The 16,383-nt window shown below is 56.2% G+C and overlaps 2 protein-coding genes across 8 annotated transcripts in view, besides 3 other annotated features; both read left to right on the forward strand.

Moving 5' to 3' along the window:
• The window catches only part of CAPN5 (calpain 5), a 59,185-nt gene that overhangs the window by 35,600 nt on the left and 7,202 nt on the right, over window positions 1-16,383 (forward strand). For all 7 annotated transcript variants that reach the window (NR_189161.1, NM_001425322.1, XM_011545225.1 and 4 more), the window contains 5 exons: window positions 10,019-10,227; window positions 11,672-11,864; window positions 12,825-13,018; window positions 13,656-13,733; window positions 15,587-15,782. Coding sequence is in view for 6 of the 7 variants with exons in the window: in NM_001425322.1 (NP_001412251.1) it covers window positions 10,019-10,227; window positions 11,672-11,864; window positions 12,825-13,018; window positions 13,656-13,733; window positions 15,587-15,782 (870 nt within the window). In the remaining variant the exon portion in view is untranslated. The remainder of the gene's footprint in view (window positions 1-10,018; window positions 10,228-11,671; window positions 11,865-12,824; window positions 13,019-13,655; window positions 13,734-15,586; window positions 15,783-16,383) is intronic.
• On the forward strand, window positions 270-761 carry OMP (olfactory marker protein). The gene has a single exon (NM_006189.1). It carries the CDS (start codon window positions 270-272, stop codon window positions 759-761), a length of 492 nt encoding a protein of 163 aa, NP_006180.1.
• Window positions 10,554-11,148: an enhancer, noted in NCBI's record as "H3K4me1 hESC enhancer chr11:76824170-76824764 (GRCh37/hg19 assembly coordinates)". NCBI's record gives its function as "activates a minimal SCP1, AML or CMV promoter by ChIP-STARR-seq in primed H9 embryonic stem cells {active_cell/tissue: H9 hESC(primed)}" and the evidence as "EXISTENCE:reporter gene assay evidence [ECO:0000049][PMID:30033119]".
• Window positions 11,149-11,744: an enhancer, noted in NCBI's record as "H3K27ac-H3K4me1 hESC enhancer chr11:76824765-76825360 (GRCh37/hg19 assembly coordinates)". NCBI's record gives its function as "activates a minimal SCP1, AML or CMV promoter by ChIP-STARR-seq in primed H9 embryonic stem cells {active_cell/tissue: H9 hESC(primed)}" and the evidence as "EXISTENCE:reporter gene assay evidence [ECO:0000049][PMID:30033119]".
• Window positions 11,745-12,338: an enhancer, noted in NCBI's record as "H3K27ac-H3K4me1 hESC enhancer chr11:76825361-76825954 (GRCh37/hg19 assembly coordinates)". NCBI's record gives its function as "activates a minimal SCP1, AML or CMV promoter by ChIP-STARR-seq in primed H9 embryonic stem cells {active_cell/tissue: H9 hESC(primed)}" and the evidence as "EXISTENCE:reporter gene assay evidence [ECO:0000049][PMID:30033119]".

The following is a 16,383-nucleotide window of genomic DNA, read 5'->3' on the forward strand; positions in this document are numbered from 1 at the left end:
TCCCCAAGGAACCTGCCACCTTCCGCCTGCCTGCAGGGCCTGCATTATCGCTTCTGCGGGGACTGGAGTGGAGGCAGATGGGGACTCCCACCCCTGACACACACCCCATTTTGAGAACTGAGTGGGGCTGGGAAGAGCCAGTGGCAAAGGGAGGGGAAGAGGGAAGGGCAGAAAGTAGGTGGGGCCCCCCTTTGGTGGCCTCTTCTCTCCACGGCCCCAGGCTCCAGCCCACTTGGGTCCTTGGCGTTGGTGGCAGCAGCACTTGGGCCATGGCGGAGGACAGGCCGCAGCAGCCGCAGCTGGACATGCCGCTGGTCCTGGACCAGGGCCTGACCAGGCAGATGCGGCTACGCGTGGAGAGCCTGAAGCAGCGCGGGGAGAAGCGCCAGGATGGGGAGAAGCTGCTGCAGCCAGCGGAGTCTGTGTACCGCCTCAACTTCACCCAGCAGCAGCGGCTACAGTTCGAGCGCTGGAATGTCGTGCTGGACAAGCCGGGCAAGGTCACCATCACAGGCACCTCGCAGAACTGGACGCCTGACCTCACCAACCTCATGACACGCCAGCTGCTGGACCCCACTGCCATCTTCTGGCGCAAGGAGGACTCGGATGCCATAGATTGGAATGAGGCCGACGCCCTGGAGTTTGGGGAGCGCCTGTCGGACCTGGCCAAGATCCGCAAGGTCATGTACTTCCTCGTCACCTTTGGCGAGGGTGTGGAGCCCGCCAACCTCAAGGCCTCCGTGGTTTTTAACCAGCTCTGACAGCAGCTGCCAGCTGCTGCTCTCCTCTAGCCCACCTGTGCTCTCCCCTGCCCCTGCCACTTTCCCCCCTGTATTTTTGGGGCCATTATTCTCGCTGCTCAGCCTGTCCTCTGCTTGCCCAGAGGCCCCCTGAGTCCCACACCTTTCCTCCTCTGCTTCTCCCTGGGGCCAGCACTCCAGCTCACAGGAAGAAGATTCTGAGGCTCCATAGCCTAGAAGCTGGACTGGCTGCTGCATTGCTATAGACGATAGAGGCCTACTAGGGGCCAGTGTGCATGGACAGTGAGGCCAGGGCCATCTGCCTTCTCTCTGCTTCATTGTGGGAGAGAGAGACTGAGAAAGACCAAGAGAGACACAGAGACAGAGATTGAAAAACCCAGCATCCACTTCCTCCAGAGTCAGGGAGACAGAGATGATGGGGCGTCTCCACGGGGAGTCCAGCAAGCCGGCATTCACTGCTCCCTGGCCTTGGTGCCCTTTGCCGGAGCCTGTGTCTGGGCTGCTGGTCCCATAACACGTCGACAACCCTCAGGATATGGGGCAGGGTTGCTGCAGGGGTGGATTTGGGCAGTGGAGAGTGGCTGGCACCCTGGAGGCTGTGTAGGCCCAGCTGTGGCTCTTCTGGGCCTGACTTCAGGGTGGAGAAGTGAAGGGGGAGGTTACACAGAGATCTGTCTCTACGCACACATATCCATGAGACAGAGTGTGCTGTATTCATATGGATGTATTCTAGAGGTCTATTCCTACCCTAGGAACAAGTGCAGTTTTAGATTATCTGTTCATCATTGCTGCTGGTTCAAGGATGGCTCTTAACAGGGGCCTGGTCCGGATGACCTTGGCCTGGGGGCTTGCTGAGCTAGGAGACTGCAGTTCAGATAGTGAAACAGGGAGTGGATTAGTAAAGGGGGTTCCCTTTGCCTTGAGGGAAGTTGGAGCTGGAGAGAGTGGATTCTCCAGGGCCTCAGGTATCCCCTGCTGGGGAGTCAGGCTCTTTAGAGCTTGCAGGTCAGGGAAGGCAAGTGCTTCGTCCTGACATAGCATCTGTTGGCATTTCTTGGGCTTCTTCAATGCAGCTGAGGGGGGCAGGGCGAAGGCGTGGTGGGCAGTTACGACGGCTGATAGTCCCAAGTGGGCTGCAGGCGGCAGTGGTGTGACGGCAGAATGGTAACCTCTGGGGTCATTGGATGCAACTCACTCACCAAACAGATGGGGAAACTGAGGCACAATTTTCATCAGATTCAGTTCTGACTCTTAGCCTCATTCCCCTTCGCATTGCGCAGTCCCAGAGAGCCCCCCCTTTTGGGGGAGTGCCTGACCTGCACCTAACATCAGCCAAGTACAGCTAAGCCACTGTCCCCAGCACCCTGACTTAAGGCCAGCCCTGTGTTTTGTCCTCAGCCAGTCAGGGATGTGTCCAAGACATTTCCCCTCATGAAGCAAAGCTGTCAAGGAACTTGCGGCTCTGGAACAGATGCACTGAGGGCCAGAGGGTCAGGGCCATCCCCTGTGGCTGGGGCTGCCGGGAGGGTGAGCCCCACCTCGGAGGTGTGCAGGCTGGAGCAGCATGCTGGAGCTGAGATTCTGTGGGTGAGAGAGTGGGAGAGTGTCTGTGGGCTGAGCACTGGTCCTTTCTGACTCACAGCTCTGGGGCCCATTCCGGGACAGGCTTGAAGAAGTCTCGGCCATTGCCTGCCCTGCTGAGCACGAGGGGAGGCCAGAACCGTGTGCAGTGGCCCTGCCCTTCTGCTTGAGCTCTTCCTGCAGCTCTGGGGACCCTCTTAGTCCCGACTGCCTGTCTCCCCAGCCTATCTGTCCCGGGGCCTGAGTCCCTCTGCTGTGCCCGCTGCAGGTCCCCAATAAAGCCTGTGCCCTGGCCTCGGTGGTGTGCAGTGTCTCGCCATCAGCCCCCATCCCTTTCACAATCCCTCACGGCCCCGAGCACTTGCTCCCTGGCCACTTCCCACACTCCCCCAGCCCTTGCCACCTTCCAAGGAGGAGGCCTGGAATAATCAGGGGCTTCACCGAATCTCCTGAGGCTGGCCAGGAGCCTCCGGCCCTGACTGTTTCTCTGGTAGCCCCAGAGCTGCCTCCGTGTTGGGTGTGCAGAGAGCTGTGCTGAGGGAGGTGCCATCTGGGCGCCGCCGAGGGCTTGGGGTAGGAAGGCACCAAACCAGGTGCAATCTCGAGTCTCCCTGCCTTGCAGGGCCACTGGGCAGGGGGTGGATGGAAGGGCAGAGTTTGAGAGGTGGGGTGAGGTCCGGCCTGTGCCTGGGTTTAGTCTGGCTTCTGTCACTGATGTGCTGTGTGTCCTCAGGCAGCTCCCAACCCCCTCCCAGACTCAGGCCTTCCAGAGTGAACAGCTTGGTTCTGTGAAGGTCCTTCCAGCCCCACCCTCCAGGAATTGTCAAACCTGTGCTGGGCTAGACTGACATGGGCAAGATGTAGCCCCAAGGCCACGTGACTTCAGTGCCTCACTTGATCCTTCCTCACAGCTCTGTTCCCTCATCACCACTCTGAAGCGCACTCATTTTTGGACAGGGACAACTGAGGCCCAGAGGAGGCGGCCTCCTGCCCAGGTCACAGAGGGCGTGGAGGGGCTGGAAGCAGGTGTGGGTGGGCCAGGCTCTTGGCCTGTGGACCTTTGGCCCCATGACACTGGTCCCTGGGATGGACCGGGGAGATGGGCCCCACCCACCTGAGAACCCAGGCTCGGGTTGGGCTGGCTTCTTTCCTGGAGACCAAGTCAAGCCCTGCCTTGGGGGTCTCACCAGTGGTTTTGTTTTGGAATGAGCCCTGCTTCAAAATCCAACCCCACCACTCTCCTGGGTCACACAGCCCCTTTCATGCCCGCCTCAGAGTAGCTGCTGCCCCCTGGTTTCCCTTTCACACACCCCTCACAGCATGCGCAGAACCCTTCCCCAGCCCCGCACCCAACCCCCACCCCCGGTCTCTCAGGGGTCTCTGCCTCCCTGACACCCCCTCCCCAAGCTTGCCTTCCAGCCACTCCTGGAGTTGCCCGAGACAGAGGAATCCAGCCTCCCACCCTCAGGACAGCAGTAGAAGCCTGGCTCTATCCCCAGAGTGCAGGAATGGCAAATGACCCATTTTCCCTGGAAACCACAGGGAAAGAAACCTGCCTTTCCCTGAGCTCTGTGCCCAGAGAGGCAGCTAGTGTGGTGAGCGACCTAGCCAGCCCCGCCCTGCCAGCTGGATGGCCTTGGGCAACCTCTGAGCTTGTTCCTCATCTGTGAGTTGGGGCCAGCAATGGCACCTCTCTCGAGGCTGTTGTGAGGGTGAAATGGGCGAGTGTCCACCAAGTGCTCGAGCTTCCCGGAGCCTGCACACAGTCACCCTCCCTCCCTGAGTTTGCCCATGGTTACTGCCCCATCACCATAGACACACGGTCTCCTCTCTCAGTTATCCGTGGGTGGGGGTACAGGAGAACCTGTGGAGAGCTGAAGTGAGTTGCCTGAGGCATCCTAGGCCAGTGCCGATGGCAGCAGGCGCAGGGCGGAGGGGTGGGCAGGAACCTGGCCTGGCTCTGTGGTCCGAGAGAGCGGCCATGGGGGAGTGTGTCCTCCTCCGTCACCATCGCCACCTCAGAGCGGCCCAGCAGAGACCATTAGCCTTCACATGATTGCTGGGGAGCTGGAGGCCCGGGGGAAGGGGGACTCCCCCAAGGCTGGGGGTCCCTGCCCGGTCTCAGCCACCCCATGAACAGGACCTGCCGTGGCCACTCTGTGGTGCATCGACACCCTGGTCTCCGGTGGAGAGCAGCAGGGCTCTGCTCTCCCAAGAAGGCAGGGGGTGCCCACCACTTTCCTGCCCTCCTGCAGTCATGGCATCTGAAACGGGGAGTTTGAGAGTCTTGGAATCAGAAGCTGAGAGCTGAGGAATCTCAGATACTCAGGACCAGGGACCCACTAGTTTTGAGGACTCACAAAGGCCCGTGGCTTACCTTACCCAGCTTGGGTTATACAGGAAACCTCCCTGTAGCCCCCATTCCACAGCCCTGGCGGCGTGGCTCAGAAACGCTCCGCACTGGCCCTCTGGGGTCCCAGGCAGAAATGTGAAAAGCTCCCTGCCTGTGCCCCACATCTGCACACACCACCTCCACACACGCACACACTTGCAGGCAGATCCTGAGCAGCTTCCCTCCCTGGGCTGCCGACCCCCTCCTTCTCCACTCTGTCGCACAGCTGGGCAGAGAGTCCTGTCTGCCACTACCCGGGGAAGATTTAAGAGCAGCCACTTGGGTCTAGGTGGGAGTCTCCAGGGACAATCCAGGAGCCAGGGATGCTGTGGTGCACCCATGGGTGGGACCCGGAGGTTTCTGGGCCCATTCTGCCGTGGGTGGCCGTTGGTGGATCACATCCCAGGGGGTTATCAGGGAGGCGGCAGATCCTGCCAGTCCTTGCCTTGCTGCCAGGTCAGCCCAAGTCAGTAAAGCCTCGTAAGCATGCAGTAGGTGATGGGGAGCTTCTCCTTTCTCCTCTTGGGAAGGAGGTTGACCAGGTCATCTCAGTTCCCTCCCAGCCCTGAGGTTTTCAGACTGTTGTGTGAAGGCACACATGTGTACACCAACACAGATGACCCCTCATGTGTGCACAGCTCTCTACAGTTTATGAAAGAGCTCCAAGGCTGTCTCCTTTAGTTCTCATAACAGCCCTGGAGGTAGTGTAGGTAGATGAGGAGACTGAGACTCAGAGGTGGCCCCGTTGAAAGTGAAGTCACTGCCATGCACCGCAGTGGGTAATGTGGTATTAAGTAGTGTGTACAGGTCACCAGCCGGTCAAGGCTGCCCTGTGACCAGTGTGGGGGATTTTCCTCCCAGGAAGACTCCAGCCAGCTTTGGAGCTGGGCCAGGCCCTGTGCTGGGTGCTGGAGATCTGAGAATTAGTCAGACTTGGCCCCTGTCCCCAAGGAGCTCCTCCCAGTGGGCAGGGAAAAGAGAGCCATGCTGGGGTGCCAGGAAAGGGGCTGCCTGACTGTTGGGGGGGTGCTCAGCAGAAGGTGCCTCAAAGCTGCTGCTCAGCTGGCCCCTAAGAGACAAGGGAAGGAGGCAGAGGGAGCCACATGTGCGTGGGGGAGGTGGCTTGAAGTGGCATGGGTGTTTGGTGGTTGTGGTAGATGGGACCCGAAGGAGGGAGCGTTGGAGGGATGAGGCTGAGAGCGTGGACTGCCGGGCCAGGTGGCTGGTGTCCGTGGTGATGGGGAATTTCTACTGTAGACAGCGAGAGGGTAGCGAGCACAGCCTGATGGACTCCTCGCACCCATCCCTTCACTTTGACACTTGCCAGCCTATGGCTAGTCTTATTTCCTCTACACACCCCTGCACTTTGCCCAGACAGCATCTCATTTCATCTGTAAATATTTCCGGATGCATCTCTGAAAGATAAGGGCTCAAAAAAAAAAAACCATAATACCAACTTATAAAATAATCTCTTAATATCATCAAATATCCAGTAATTGTTCTAATTTCTAATTTGTGCTATAAATATGCATAGGTTTTACGGTTTGTTTGAATGAGATCCAAACAGAAGTCCATAATTGCAATTGGTTGATTGCTCTTTCATCTTTTATTTTTTCCTAGTAAATTATCTATCAAAGAAATGGGGCCGTTTGTCCTGTAGGGTTTCCCATGGTGTGGGTTTTGTTGACTGTGTCTTTTTGGTGGTGTTTGACATGTTCTCTGTCCCCTGCGTTTCTGTAACCTGGGACTTAGCTCCAGAAGCTCATACGGTTTAGGAACAATTTTTTTCTTTCTTTGTCACAGCTGCATCATGGAAGATGTTGTGTACTTCATTCGGGGGCACATCATGGCTAGTTATCTTTCTTTTTTGTGATGTTAGAAACCATCAGTGACCACTGCCTAAATTCATTCATTCTTCAGTGATTGTAAAATGCTGGTGGTCTAATATCATCAGTCCTTTCTCATTTATGAGCAGGAAGTCTCTTCCAGTTCAAGACTTCCCTCCATCTACTATTTGGTTACCATCTGGTACAGTTTGTCTACAGAGACAGGATAAATTTCCTGTAATTTTCCAGTTTAAAAAAAAAATGAGTTGATTCCCTACCCACCTCCGATAGTGACTAATTGTTTTTGTAAGTATCATTCTGATCTCATGAATTGGAACATATTTGATGTGTTTTAATCCATTGCTGTTTTTGCCCTTATTGATGCTCAAATTAGCCCATCTTTGGCCATCAGGAACCTCTTCAGGTTGGTTCCTGAATCCTTTGACATGGCCCCGGGAGTCTGTGCTGGCTTCCTTGGTTTCCGGCGTGGCGTGGGAGGGTTTTTGGTGTGCGAGCGCATCTATTTAGACAGTCTCCCTCCTGCTCAGCATCCTGGCTGACAGCAGAGCAGCTGAGGGGTGAGAAGGCTGGCTTGGGGCCCACCCCGTGCCAGGTGCAGGGGCGGTGAAGCAGGAGGGGAAATGGAGGCCCTTGGGGATCCCAGACTCTGGGTCTCCAGGCCCTGGAGCCTCATTAGCAGCTTCTTGAGCCACAGAGGGCTCAGAGCCAAGCCTCGAGTTTGACTAATGATCCTCCCGAGGTCCTAGCAGCCTGTGAGGGCTGCCCTTCCTCCCAGCCATGGAGTCCAGAGCATTCAGAACAGGGCAGGAGCAGAAGGAGGGGGTGAAGGTGATGGGCCAGGCCTGTGTTCTCAGCTTAGGACTCCCTGTCACTCTGTGCGCTTGGGCAGATCTTGTTTCTTTCTGGACCTCAGTCTTCCCATTTGTGCAGTGGGAATGGTAACCCTCACCTTGTATGGAACCGCTCTTTTTTTTTTTTTTGAGACAGAGTCTTGCTCTGTTGCCCAGCTCACTGCAACCTCCGCCTCCCAGGTTCAAGCGATTCTCATGAGTCAGCCTCCTGAATGGCTAGGATTACAGGCACGCACCACCACGCCCAGCTAATTTTTGTATTCTTTTTTAGTAGAGACAGAGTTTTACCATGTTGGCCAGGCTGGTATCGAACTGGCCTCAAGTGATCCACCTGCCTTGGCCTCCCATGAGACGTGTTTTTGATACAGCTGTCTGTCCTGAAAGCAAAGTGGGGAGAGAGTGCCAGGAGTCAGGGCATTTTTACTTAGAAAGGGCACAGAGTTGACAGAAAAGTGGGGGTGAGGAGGTGGGGGAAAGGAACAGCCAGTGTTGAGCCCTTGCTGGGTTCCAGACAGTGAGGTTGGGAAGTCCTGGGTTTGAACCCTGCCTCCCTCGCTTGAGCCTGTGGGCAGCCTTCTGCCAGCACCTTCCGGTAGTATTGCCTCAAAAGCCTGTCCTGAGGCTCAGGGGTGCTAGTGTGAGCAGCCTGGCCCTGTGCCTGGCACCCAACAGGGCTCCATTAGGGCAGTAGTACCTCTCGCTGCAGTTAGCATTTTCATTTTCTTGGTCTCACATGTCCCATTAGGGAGCATTTCCCTTTGCCAACATCCCTTTTGATGGTAAGAGTTTTGTTTGTTGATGCAAACAAAAGTGTCCTTAATGAGCATGCAGTGGGGAGCAGCTTTTGGCTGAAGTCTGTACACTCAGGTGAGTGCCGGCCTCCTGGTGTGCCTCTGGTTCCTCCGCCTGGGTGCCCCCCATACCTGGAGTGGTTTTCTTCTAGAAAGAGCTGCTTATGGTCCTGATGGGGCTCAGCTCCACTTGGTCCCGTGCCCAGCAGGGCCAGGGGTCATTCACCCTGACTTGACAGGGTGAGGGGTTTTCCCTTCTCTGCCCAGATTGTGGCTATTGTCCTCATCTGCTTGGGGGACGCCTGTAGCAGCACTGCGGATGCTGCTGAGTAGGGTCTGGCACTCCCTTCTGGTATAGCCCCGCCTGCACCCTGTGTAGCCTCAGCACTTTGCCTGGGTGCCTCCTCCTCTCCCCAGACTGGGAGCCTTTTGAGGGAAGGGACCATGTGATTCACCTGGTTGTCAGTGTCCAGCTTGGGGCTGGTTGCAGAGTGGTCCACAGTGCCAAGGAGCTCATTTTTCAGAGGCAGACAGATCTGGGTTTGAATCCTGGCTTCAAACCAAGGTTGGTCTGCCTCCAAAGCATGTGTGTATTTTCTAGCTGGGTGACCCTGGACGAGTTACGTGCCCTCTCTGGGCCACAGTATTGTCATCTGTGAAGTAGGGCTGGATAATAGTCATCTACTCAGAGGTTATTGTGATAATTAAATGGAGATAAGTCATGGTAGTCACAGGCATTTCCCAGATGCGTCATAAGTAATAAAATCAATGTCTCAGTGTCCCCAGTCAATGTCTTTGAATTCATTCATTCAGTCAATGCATGTTTACTAAACATACTCTCTGGGTCAGGCCCTGGGCTAGGTGCTGGGTGCATAGCAGTGACTGAGACCTATATGGCCCTGCCCCCAGAGAACTGACATTCCCAGTGTAACATCAGAGCTCAAAGTCACAGAGTTACTTAATTATAACTTGGTAAAGGTAAGTATCTCAGATGAGAGCTGCCAAGGGCCATGAGACTGAGATAGGGGTCCTGGCCTAATCTGAATAGTCAGGGAGGCTTCCTGGAGAAAGAGGATGGACACTAAAGGACAAATGGAAGTCTACTGAGTAATGAGGAGAAGGAAGAACCTGGAGCAGGGAGCAGGGGTGGGGGCTGCTGTGGGGGAGGCAGAGAAATGAGGCTGGGGGAGTGCATTGAGAGTTTGTGTCTTATTTTCTAGGGAAGTGACAGGACTGGGTTGGTCTATGTGGGGCGAGAGTAGATGTAGCTGCAGACACTGCTACAGTTGTCCCTGGGCGAGGAGATGGGGGATTGGGCCAGGGTGGTGCCAGTAGGATGGAGAGGAGGAGATGGATTTCAGGAGAATGGAGGCGCTCAGATTGGGCTGACTGGATGGAGGGAGGGAAAGCAAAGCAGCCAGTGGGGCTGCCAGCCTTGGGGTGGGCTGGATGGGTGGATGGTGGCGCTGGTCACTAGGCAGGAGCTGGTGGTAGATGTGGACGGAAGTCTCGGGGAAGGTTGCAGGGAGGCATGAGAAAGAGGAAAGCTCACACACTCTGAGAACAACAGCTGGAAGGAGGCCGAGGGAGCCTCCAAGCCTCGCGGAGATGGGAACCTGAGCCTGGAGATGGGGAGGATTCATCCGGGTCTCACGAAGGCTTGTGGCAGAGTTGGAATCCGAACCCAGTATTCCTTTACATTCCGATTCGCTGGAAGCACACGCCCCCATTTCCTCAGGAAGCCGGACATCCCCTCACTGTGTTCCCCCATCCTATCCCCCCTCCCCCTACCCAGGTCATCCCAGACTGGAAGGAGCAGGAATGGGACCCCGAAAAGCCCAACGCCTACGCGGGCATCTTCCACTTCCACTTCTGGCGCTTCGGGGAATGGGTGGACGTGGTCATCGATGACCGGCTGCCCACAGTCAACAACCAGCTCATCTACTGCCACTCCAACTCCCGCAATGAGTTTTGGTGCGCCCTAGTGGAGAAGGCCTATGCCAAGTAGGTGCCAGCAGCAGGCAGGTGGGTGGGAGGCCCAGACGGGGGTGGCACCGGATGGGCTCCTCGTGGTATTCCGTTAGCCAGGGCTTTAGGCACAGAGAAGTGAGGGGCTGGTGCAGGCACGCAGCAGGCTCAACCGCCAGGCCTGAGGGCATAGTCAGCTGAGCCTGTGCTGGGTGGGGTGGAGGCCTGGGCCCTGTAAGGAGAGGAATGTTGGTTACTCCCATTTTAGGGGGAGAAGACTGAGGCCCAGGCAACATCCTGTAGGTAGCTGGGGGCAGAGGCAGCACTCACATTTAGGACCATTCTCGAAGGTTCATGCTGCCATGCCCTGCCTGGGGCCTTGGTTGGGGAAGTGGTAACTGAGCTGGGGCCTGGTTGTGCAGGGTGGGCCACGTGCCTGCCTTCCCCGCCTGCTGGGCCTCCCTCTTGTCCACCATCCGCCTCTGCCTGGCTGACTGTCCATTCTGTCTTTGCTGACCCCTCCTTCTGCTCCGTGCCTTCTGCTTCTGTGTCCCCAGTGCCCAACACAGAGCCCAGCATAGAATGGGCACAAGCAAAGTTTTGCTGAGCTGTGGGGAACCCTGGGGAAGAGTGACTCGCGCAGGCCGTTGCAGGGCAGGGATACGCCTAGGCCAGGAGGGAGGAGGGAGGAGGGGCAGTGGGGTCAGAGGCCAGCCTCGCCAGCTCTAGGTGAGCCACTCTCTGGTTCCTCCTGCTAGGCCCATTTGTCAATCTTGCTGAAAAAATGTGTGTGTAGGGGCAGGAGCAAGGAGAGAGAGAGATAGAAAACAAGAGAAAGGGGGAGAGAGGAAAAGGAAAGACAAAAACTCCCAACATCAAAAACCCAAGAAAACACATTGGCAGGTTCCACTTTCAATCCTAAGAAAGGAAAGCCAGCCCCCTGGTGGCCACTGAGTCTCCACCACCTGGATGCAGGTCGACCCAGTGGCCTTGGTTGTTTTTTGTTTTTTGAAAAAACACAGTTTCATTGTGGTAAAATAGACAAAACATAATGCTTCTCATTTTAACCATATGGAAACATACAATTCAGTGGCATTCATTATGATCACAGTGCTATGGGCCATCACCACTATCTATCCCCAGAACCTTCTCATCATTCCCAGCAGGAGGTCTATACCCATCCGACAGTAACTCCTTCCCCTCCCCCTGACCATTGTTGGCACTTTGGAAAAGAGTTGCTTTTTTTTTTTTGGACAGCTGATTTTTTAAGATTGAGCCACTAAGGCTTAGGGGAATTTAAGCCTTATATGTTGGCCCGAGTGTTAAGAACTGGGTTCCAGTGTTGGCTCCGCCGTGGCCTGCTGCGTGACTGTAACAGGTTGTTTGACCCCTCTGAGTTTCAAAAACCTCCCCTATGAGGTAAAGGATGCAGCCTGGCTGGGGAGCATGAGCTGGGAAGTCTTTCCACATTGCTTCCCAGACTGGCAGGCTGTTACCAGGCCCTGGATGGAGGCAACACAGCAGACGCACTGGTGGACTTCACGGGTGGTGTTTCTGAGCCCATCGACCTGACCGAGGGTGACTTTGCCAACGATGAGACTAAGAGGAACCAGCTCTTTGAGCGCATGTTAAAGGTGCACAGCCGGGGCGGCCTCATCAGTGCCTCCATCAAGGTGAGAACACGGCAGTCCCCAGAGGCGACCCCTCCCCTTCACCCTCGCTGACTGAGATGGGAGACAACTGTGACATCCCACGCTCAGGTCAGCTCCTACGTATTCAGACCCTCAGCCTCGTGGGGGAGGGGAGAAGTTGGAAGGTGCAACCCCCTGCCCAGACCCTCTAGGCTGTGAAAAGCCTTTCCCGCACTGTTCAACCAAAACTTCTTTTCTGATCCTCTTGGGTTATGAACGTCTGTGCATCTGAGGGTGGTCCTGATTTCATTACTTGCTCGTGTTTTGGATGAGAAAGCTGAGGCCCAGTGAAAGCCAAGTTCAAACCCAACTTTAGCAGACCCTGTGCTGTGCTGGTAAACTGCCTCCAGCAAAGTAAAAAGCCCCGGTTTGTAGCATTTGCTAATTACTGTGGTGTAAATACTCCCACCATGGCTGATTTCCAACTACCCACATTTAACAACCAGCTATTAACAATATTCCTGGCCGGGCATGGTGGCACATGCCTGTAATCCCAGCTACTCGGGAGGCTGAGGCAGGAGAATTGCTTGAACCCGGGAGGCAGAAATTGTGGTGAGCCAAGATCGCGCCATTGCACTCCAGCCTGGGCAACAAGAGCAAAACTCCATCCAAAAAAAAAACAAAAAACAAAACAATGTTCCTGAATATTTAACAATTCCTGGAATATTTAACAATTTAAATATTCCCGAATATTTAACAACAGCTGAGCCAGTGCACGTGGGCCCCAGCATTCCCCTGGGCTGACCCACTATGGGCACCTTCCTTTACTGAGACTGCTGCCCATGGGGGTTTTAAAGCTCTGTGAACACAGCACTGCCCCATGACTGCAATTCCCATCCCATCCTGTAGGTCCCGTGCAGCCTCCTAGCCCTCCAGCACCTGAGTCCCTGGTCTGGGTTCCAGTGTGGCCCTGCCTCTCTGAGCAACTGTGTCCCTCCACAGGCAGTGACAGCAGCTGACATGGAGGCCCGCCTGGCGTGCGGCCTGGTAAAGGGCCACGCATACGCCGTCACTGATGTGCGCAAGGTGCGCCTGGGCCACGGCCTACTGGCCTTCTTCAAGTCAGAGAAGTTGGACATGATCCGCCTGCGCAACCCCTGGGGCGAGCGGGAGTGGAACGGGCCCTGGAGTGACACGTGAGGCCTGGGGATGGGGGTGCAGGCACAGGGCATGAGGGCTTGGACAAGGACGGGTGGGCTTCTTGGAGGAGTTGGCACTGGGGCTGGGCCTTGAAGGATCTGGGGGAGGATGACACTAGGAACGAAGAAGGGAGAATTACTTTGCAGTGGTTGTATGGGGTGATGGATTGAGCACAAGAAAGGCCTGGGGCTGGAGGCCATCAGGGGTGTAGAGACCAGCTTGGTGAGTGGGTGCGGGAGGGGAGCAGGGAGGGAGGCCACAGCCCTGAGCAAATGGGGGACTCCTCTGTGCTTGGCTTATGGCCCTGGTAAGGCCAAGATGGGAGTGGAGCCCAGGTGCTAAGTGAAGGAGCCCTCTTCACTGGGGGTCGCACCCCCCTTCCCCCCAGTCTGCAGCTTTACTTTCAGACCTCCCAGCCCCTGTCATGGTGGCAGCTCACGGTCCCTTGTGGGAGGAGACAGGCAGGGCTTCCTGGAGAGGGGCTGGGCATGGCCTCAGTGCCCCTGGCCACACCGTGCCGCTGGAGGCCTGGTGCAAGACTGCCCCTCGTGCCTCCTCGCCTTTGCCAGACAGATTCTGGTGGGGCTGCCTCTTAGACAGCTCCCTTTCTCCTCCCCGGCCCTGACACCCCAGCTCGGAGGAGTGGCAGAAAGTGAGCAAGAGTGAGCGGGAGAAGATGGGTGTGACCGTGCAGGACGACGGTGAGTTCTGGTGAGTGTGTATGTGCCCTGGGCGTCCGGGGCTGAGGGGGCTTCCCACGGGCCTGGCGGGGAGCACCAGGTGGGGAGTCAGGAGCCAGGCCTCTCCTGCATGCCCCATCATCAATTTGCTGTGTGGCCTTGGACAAGTCACACCATCTCAGAGCCTGTTTCCTCCTCTGTAAAATTAGTTGGGCAGTACCAGGCCCTTTCATCCCCACAGTCCCCTCTGCCGAACTGAGGGGTCCTGGAGCCGCTGTGGCACCCAGACCGAGCCTTTGGCATGCAGGTCAGGGAGCCGTCTAAGAGGTGGGCCCACCAGGATCTCCCCGGCAAGGGTAAGGAGGCATGAAGCACAGTCCAGCACCAGCAGTATGGTGTGGCCAGGGGCACTGGGGCTATGCCCAGCCCCTCTCCAGGAAGCCCTGCCCTCAGCCTGCCTCCAGGGGCCCTCTGGCAGCCTGATTTCTGAAATTAGGTAGCAGAGGCTCCTAGAGGAACTAGCTTCTAAGCTGAGACTTGAGGTACAGAGTAGGCCTTGGTGGGCAAGGAAGAGGACGTGGCTCAGAGGTGAGAGAACACAGCTGTGTTTGAGAAGGGAGCTAAGCAGGTACATGGGTGAGCTGGGAAGATGACAGCAGCTCAGCTTAAAGAGCCCAGTAATTGGCTGGGTACAGTGGCTCATGTCTATAATCCCAGCACTTTGGGAGGTCAAGGTAGAAGGATTGCTTGAGTCCAGGAGTTTGAGACCAGCCTGGGCAGCATAGTGGGACCCCATCTCTACAAAAATGAAAAATTAGCTGGGTGTGATGATGTACCCCTGTAGTCTCAGCTACTCTAGAGGCTGAGAGGGGAGGATTGCTTGAGCCCAGGAGGTTGAGTTTATAGTGAGCCATGATCGCACCACTGCACTCCATCCTGGGCTAAAGAGCAAGACCCTGTTTCAAAAACAAAAAGAAAAACCCCAGTAGTAATAAAAGTTCATCCTGCATTCATCCAGCCTGCATGAGTCCTGAATGTGGGCTAGGCTCAGTGTCACCCTTCAGCAGAACCTGATATGGAAACTCAGTCCCTTCCTGGAGGGGTATTGGCATCCTGTGTGTGCTGGATTCTGTCAGGGCCCCCAGGCAGACTGGGGGCAGATGGCAGTGGTCCTGGCACCCAATGATGAACCCTTCTGCAGGTGTCAGGTCAGCTGCTGCAGGAGGCCACCCAGGCCACTTTGCCAGTCTTGCTCAGGAGTCAGCAGATAAAAACACGGCAGAGCTCCTTGCCTTTAGAAAGAGTTTCTTCCAAAGGCCTTTCTCTTACATGTTCACGGTTAATTCACTGCCCCCTGCCCCCACCAGCTCCCTGGAGGCGTTCACAGTGTGCAGTGACCATAGCAACACCCTGGCCACCGCAGCAGGCTCACCATGGGGTTCCCACCATCCACTTACTCAGGCCTCTCAACAGCCATGGAAGATCCTGGATGCAGATGTGCTTTATAAACTGTACAGGGCAGCAGACAGTAGTTATTAACACCATTCACAATAGTAACAGCCAGCGTTTGCCAGTGCGTGCTCTGTCAGCCGAAAGTTGCACTGCCTGCTTTGATTGCATTACCTAATTCCTTCACTAGCTCTGAGATGGGCACCTGCTGTTAGATTCAGCCTCATTTTACAGGTGAGGAAACAGGTCAAAAGAGAGGTTAAGGGTCTGTGCAATGCCATGCCTGTGCCCTTGTGTGGGCTTAGCTCCCCTCTCAAAGCCAGCTGTGTTCTCTCACCTCTGGGCCATATGGACATATTAGGTTGTTGGGCTGGGGGGCCAAGAGCCTGGGGAGGTGTGGGGGAGGTACCCTGCTCAGCCCCTCCCCACATCCAGGATGACCTTCGAGGACGTGTGCCGGTACTTCACGGACATCATCAAGTGCCGCGTGATCAACACATCCCACCTGAGCATCCACAAGACGTGGGAGGAGGCCCGGCTGCATGGCGCCTGGACGCTGCATGAGGACCCGCGACAGAACCGCGGTGGCGGCTGCATCAACCACAAGGACACCTTCTTCCAGAACCCACAGGTGGGCGTTCTCAGGAACCCCCACCCTGCCCTGTAGCAGCTGCGGGGTGCCTTGCCACTGTCCTGCCAGGGACTCCTGCATGACCTTGGGTAATCCCTGTCCTTCCTTGGGCCTCAGCAAACCTGTCTGTACAGTGGGGGTTAGATGGGCACATCCGTCCCATCTGGGGGTCATGAAGCCCCCAGCCTCACAATCTAACCTGCAGATGGTAAAAATGAGGAAACCGCGGCTCTGAGGGACATTTGGGTGTCTTGTTCTGAGCTACAGGGACACTTAGAGGCTGAGCCAGGGACTCAGCCCCTTGTTTCCACAACAGCACAATTCTGTCCCTTCTGGGAACTTGGCTGGGCTGGGCTTCCCCACGGGGCCTCTCCCCACAGCCTCCTCAGTCTGACCCGTGGCGCTGCTTAGCCCTGGTGCTTGGTGTGCCTCTGTTGAGCACCACCTGTGTGCCAGGCTCTGTGCAGAGTGGCCACCCTGGCATTGAGTTTCCCCAGCCTTCATGCAGGGTAGCCATTGCAGGCATTGGTAGGCCCACCTCACAGCAGAGGGACCAAGGCGCAGAGAGGTGCTGTGACTGGTCCAGGCTCTGGAGTCTGAG

The sequence above is a fragment of the Homo sapiens genome, chromosome 11 (genome assembly GCF_000001405.40).
Source record: "Homo sapiens chromosome 11, GRCh38.p14 Primary Assembly".
NCBI lineage: Eukaryota > Metazoa > Chordata > Mammalia > Primates > Hominidae > Homo > Homo sapiens.

Coding starts and splice junctions, on each gene's coding strand:
- OMP (NM_006189.1), top strand. CDS start 270: ATGGCGGAGGACAGGCCGCAGCAGCCGCAGCTGGACATGCCGCTGGTC.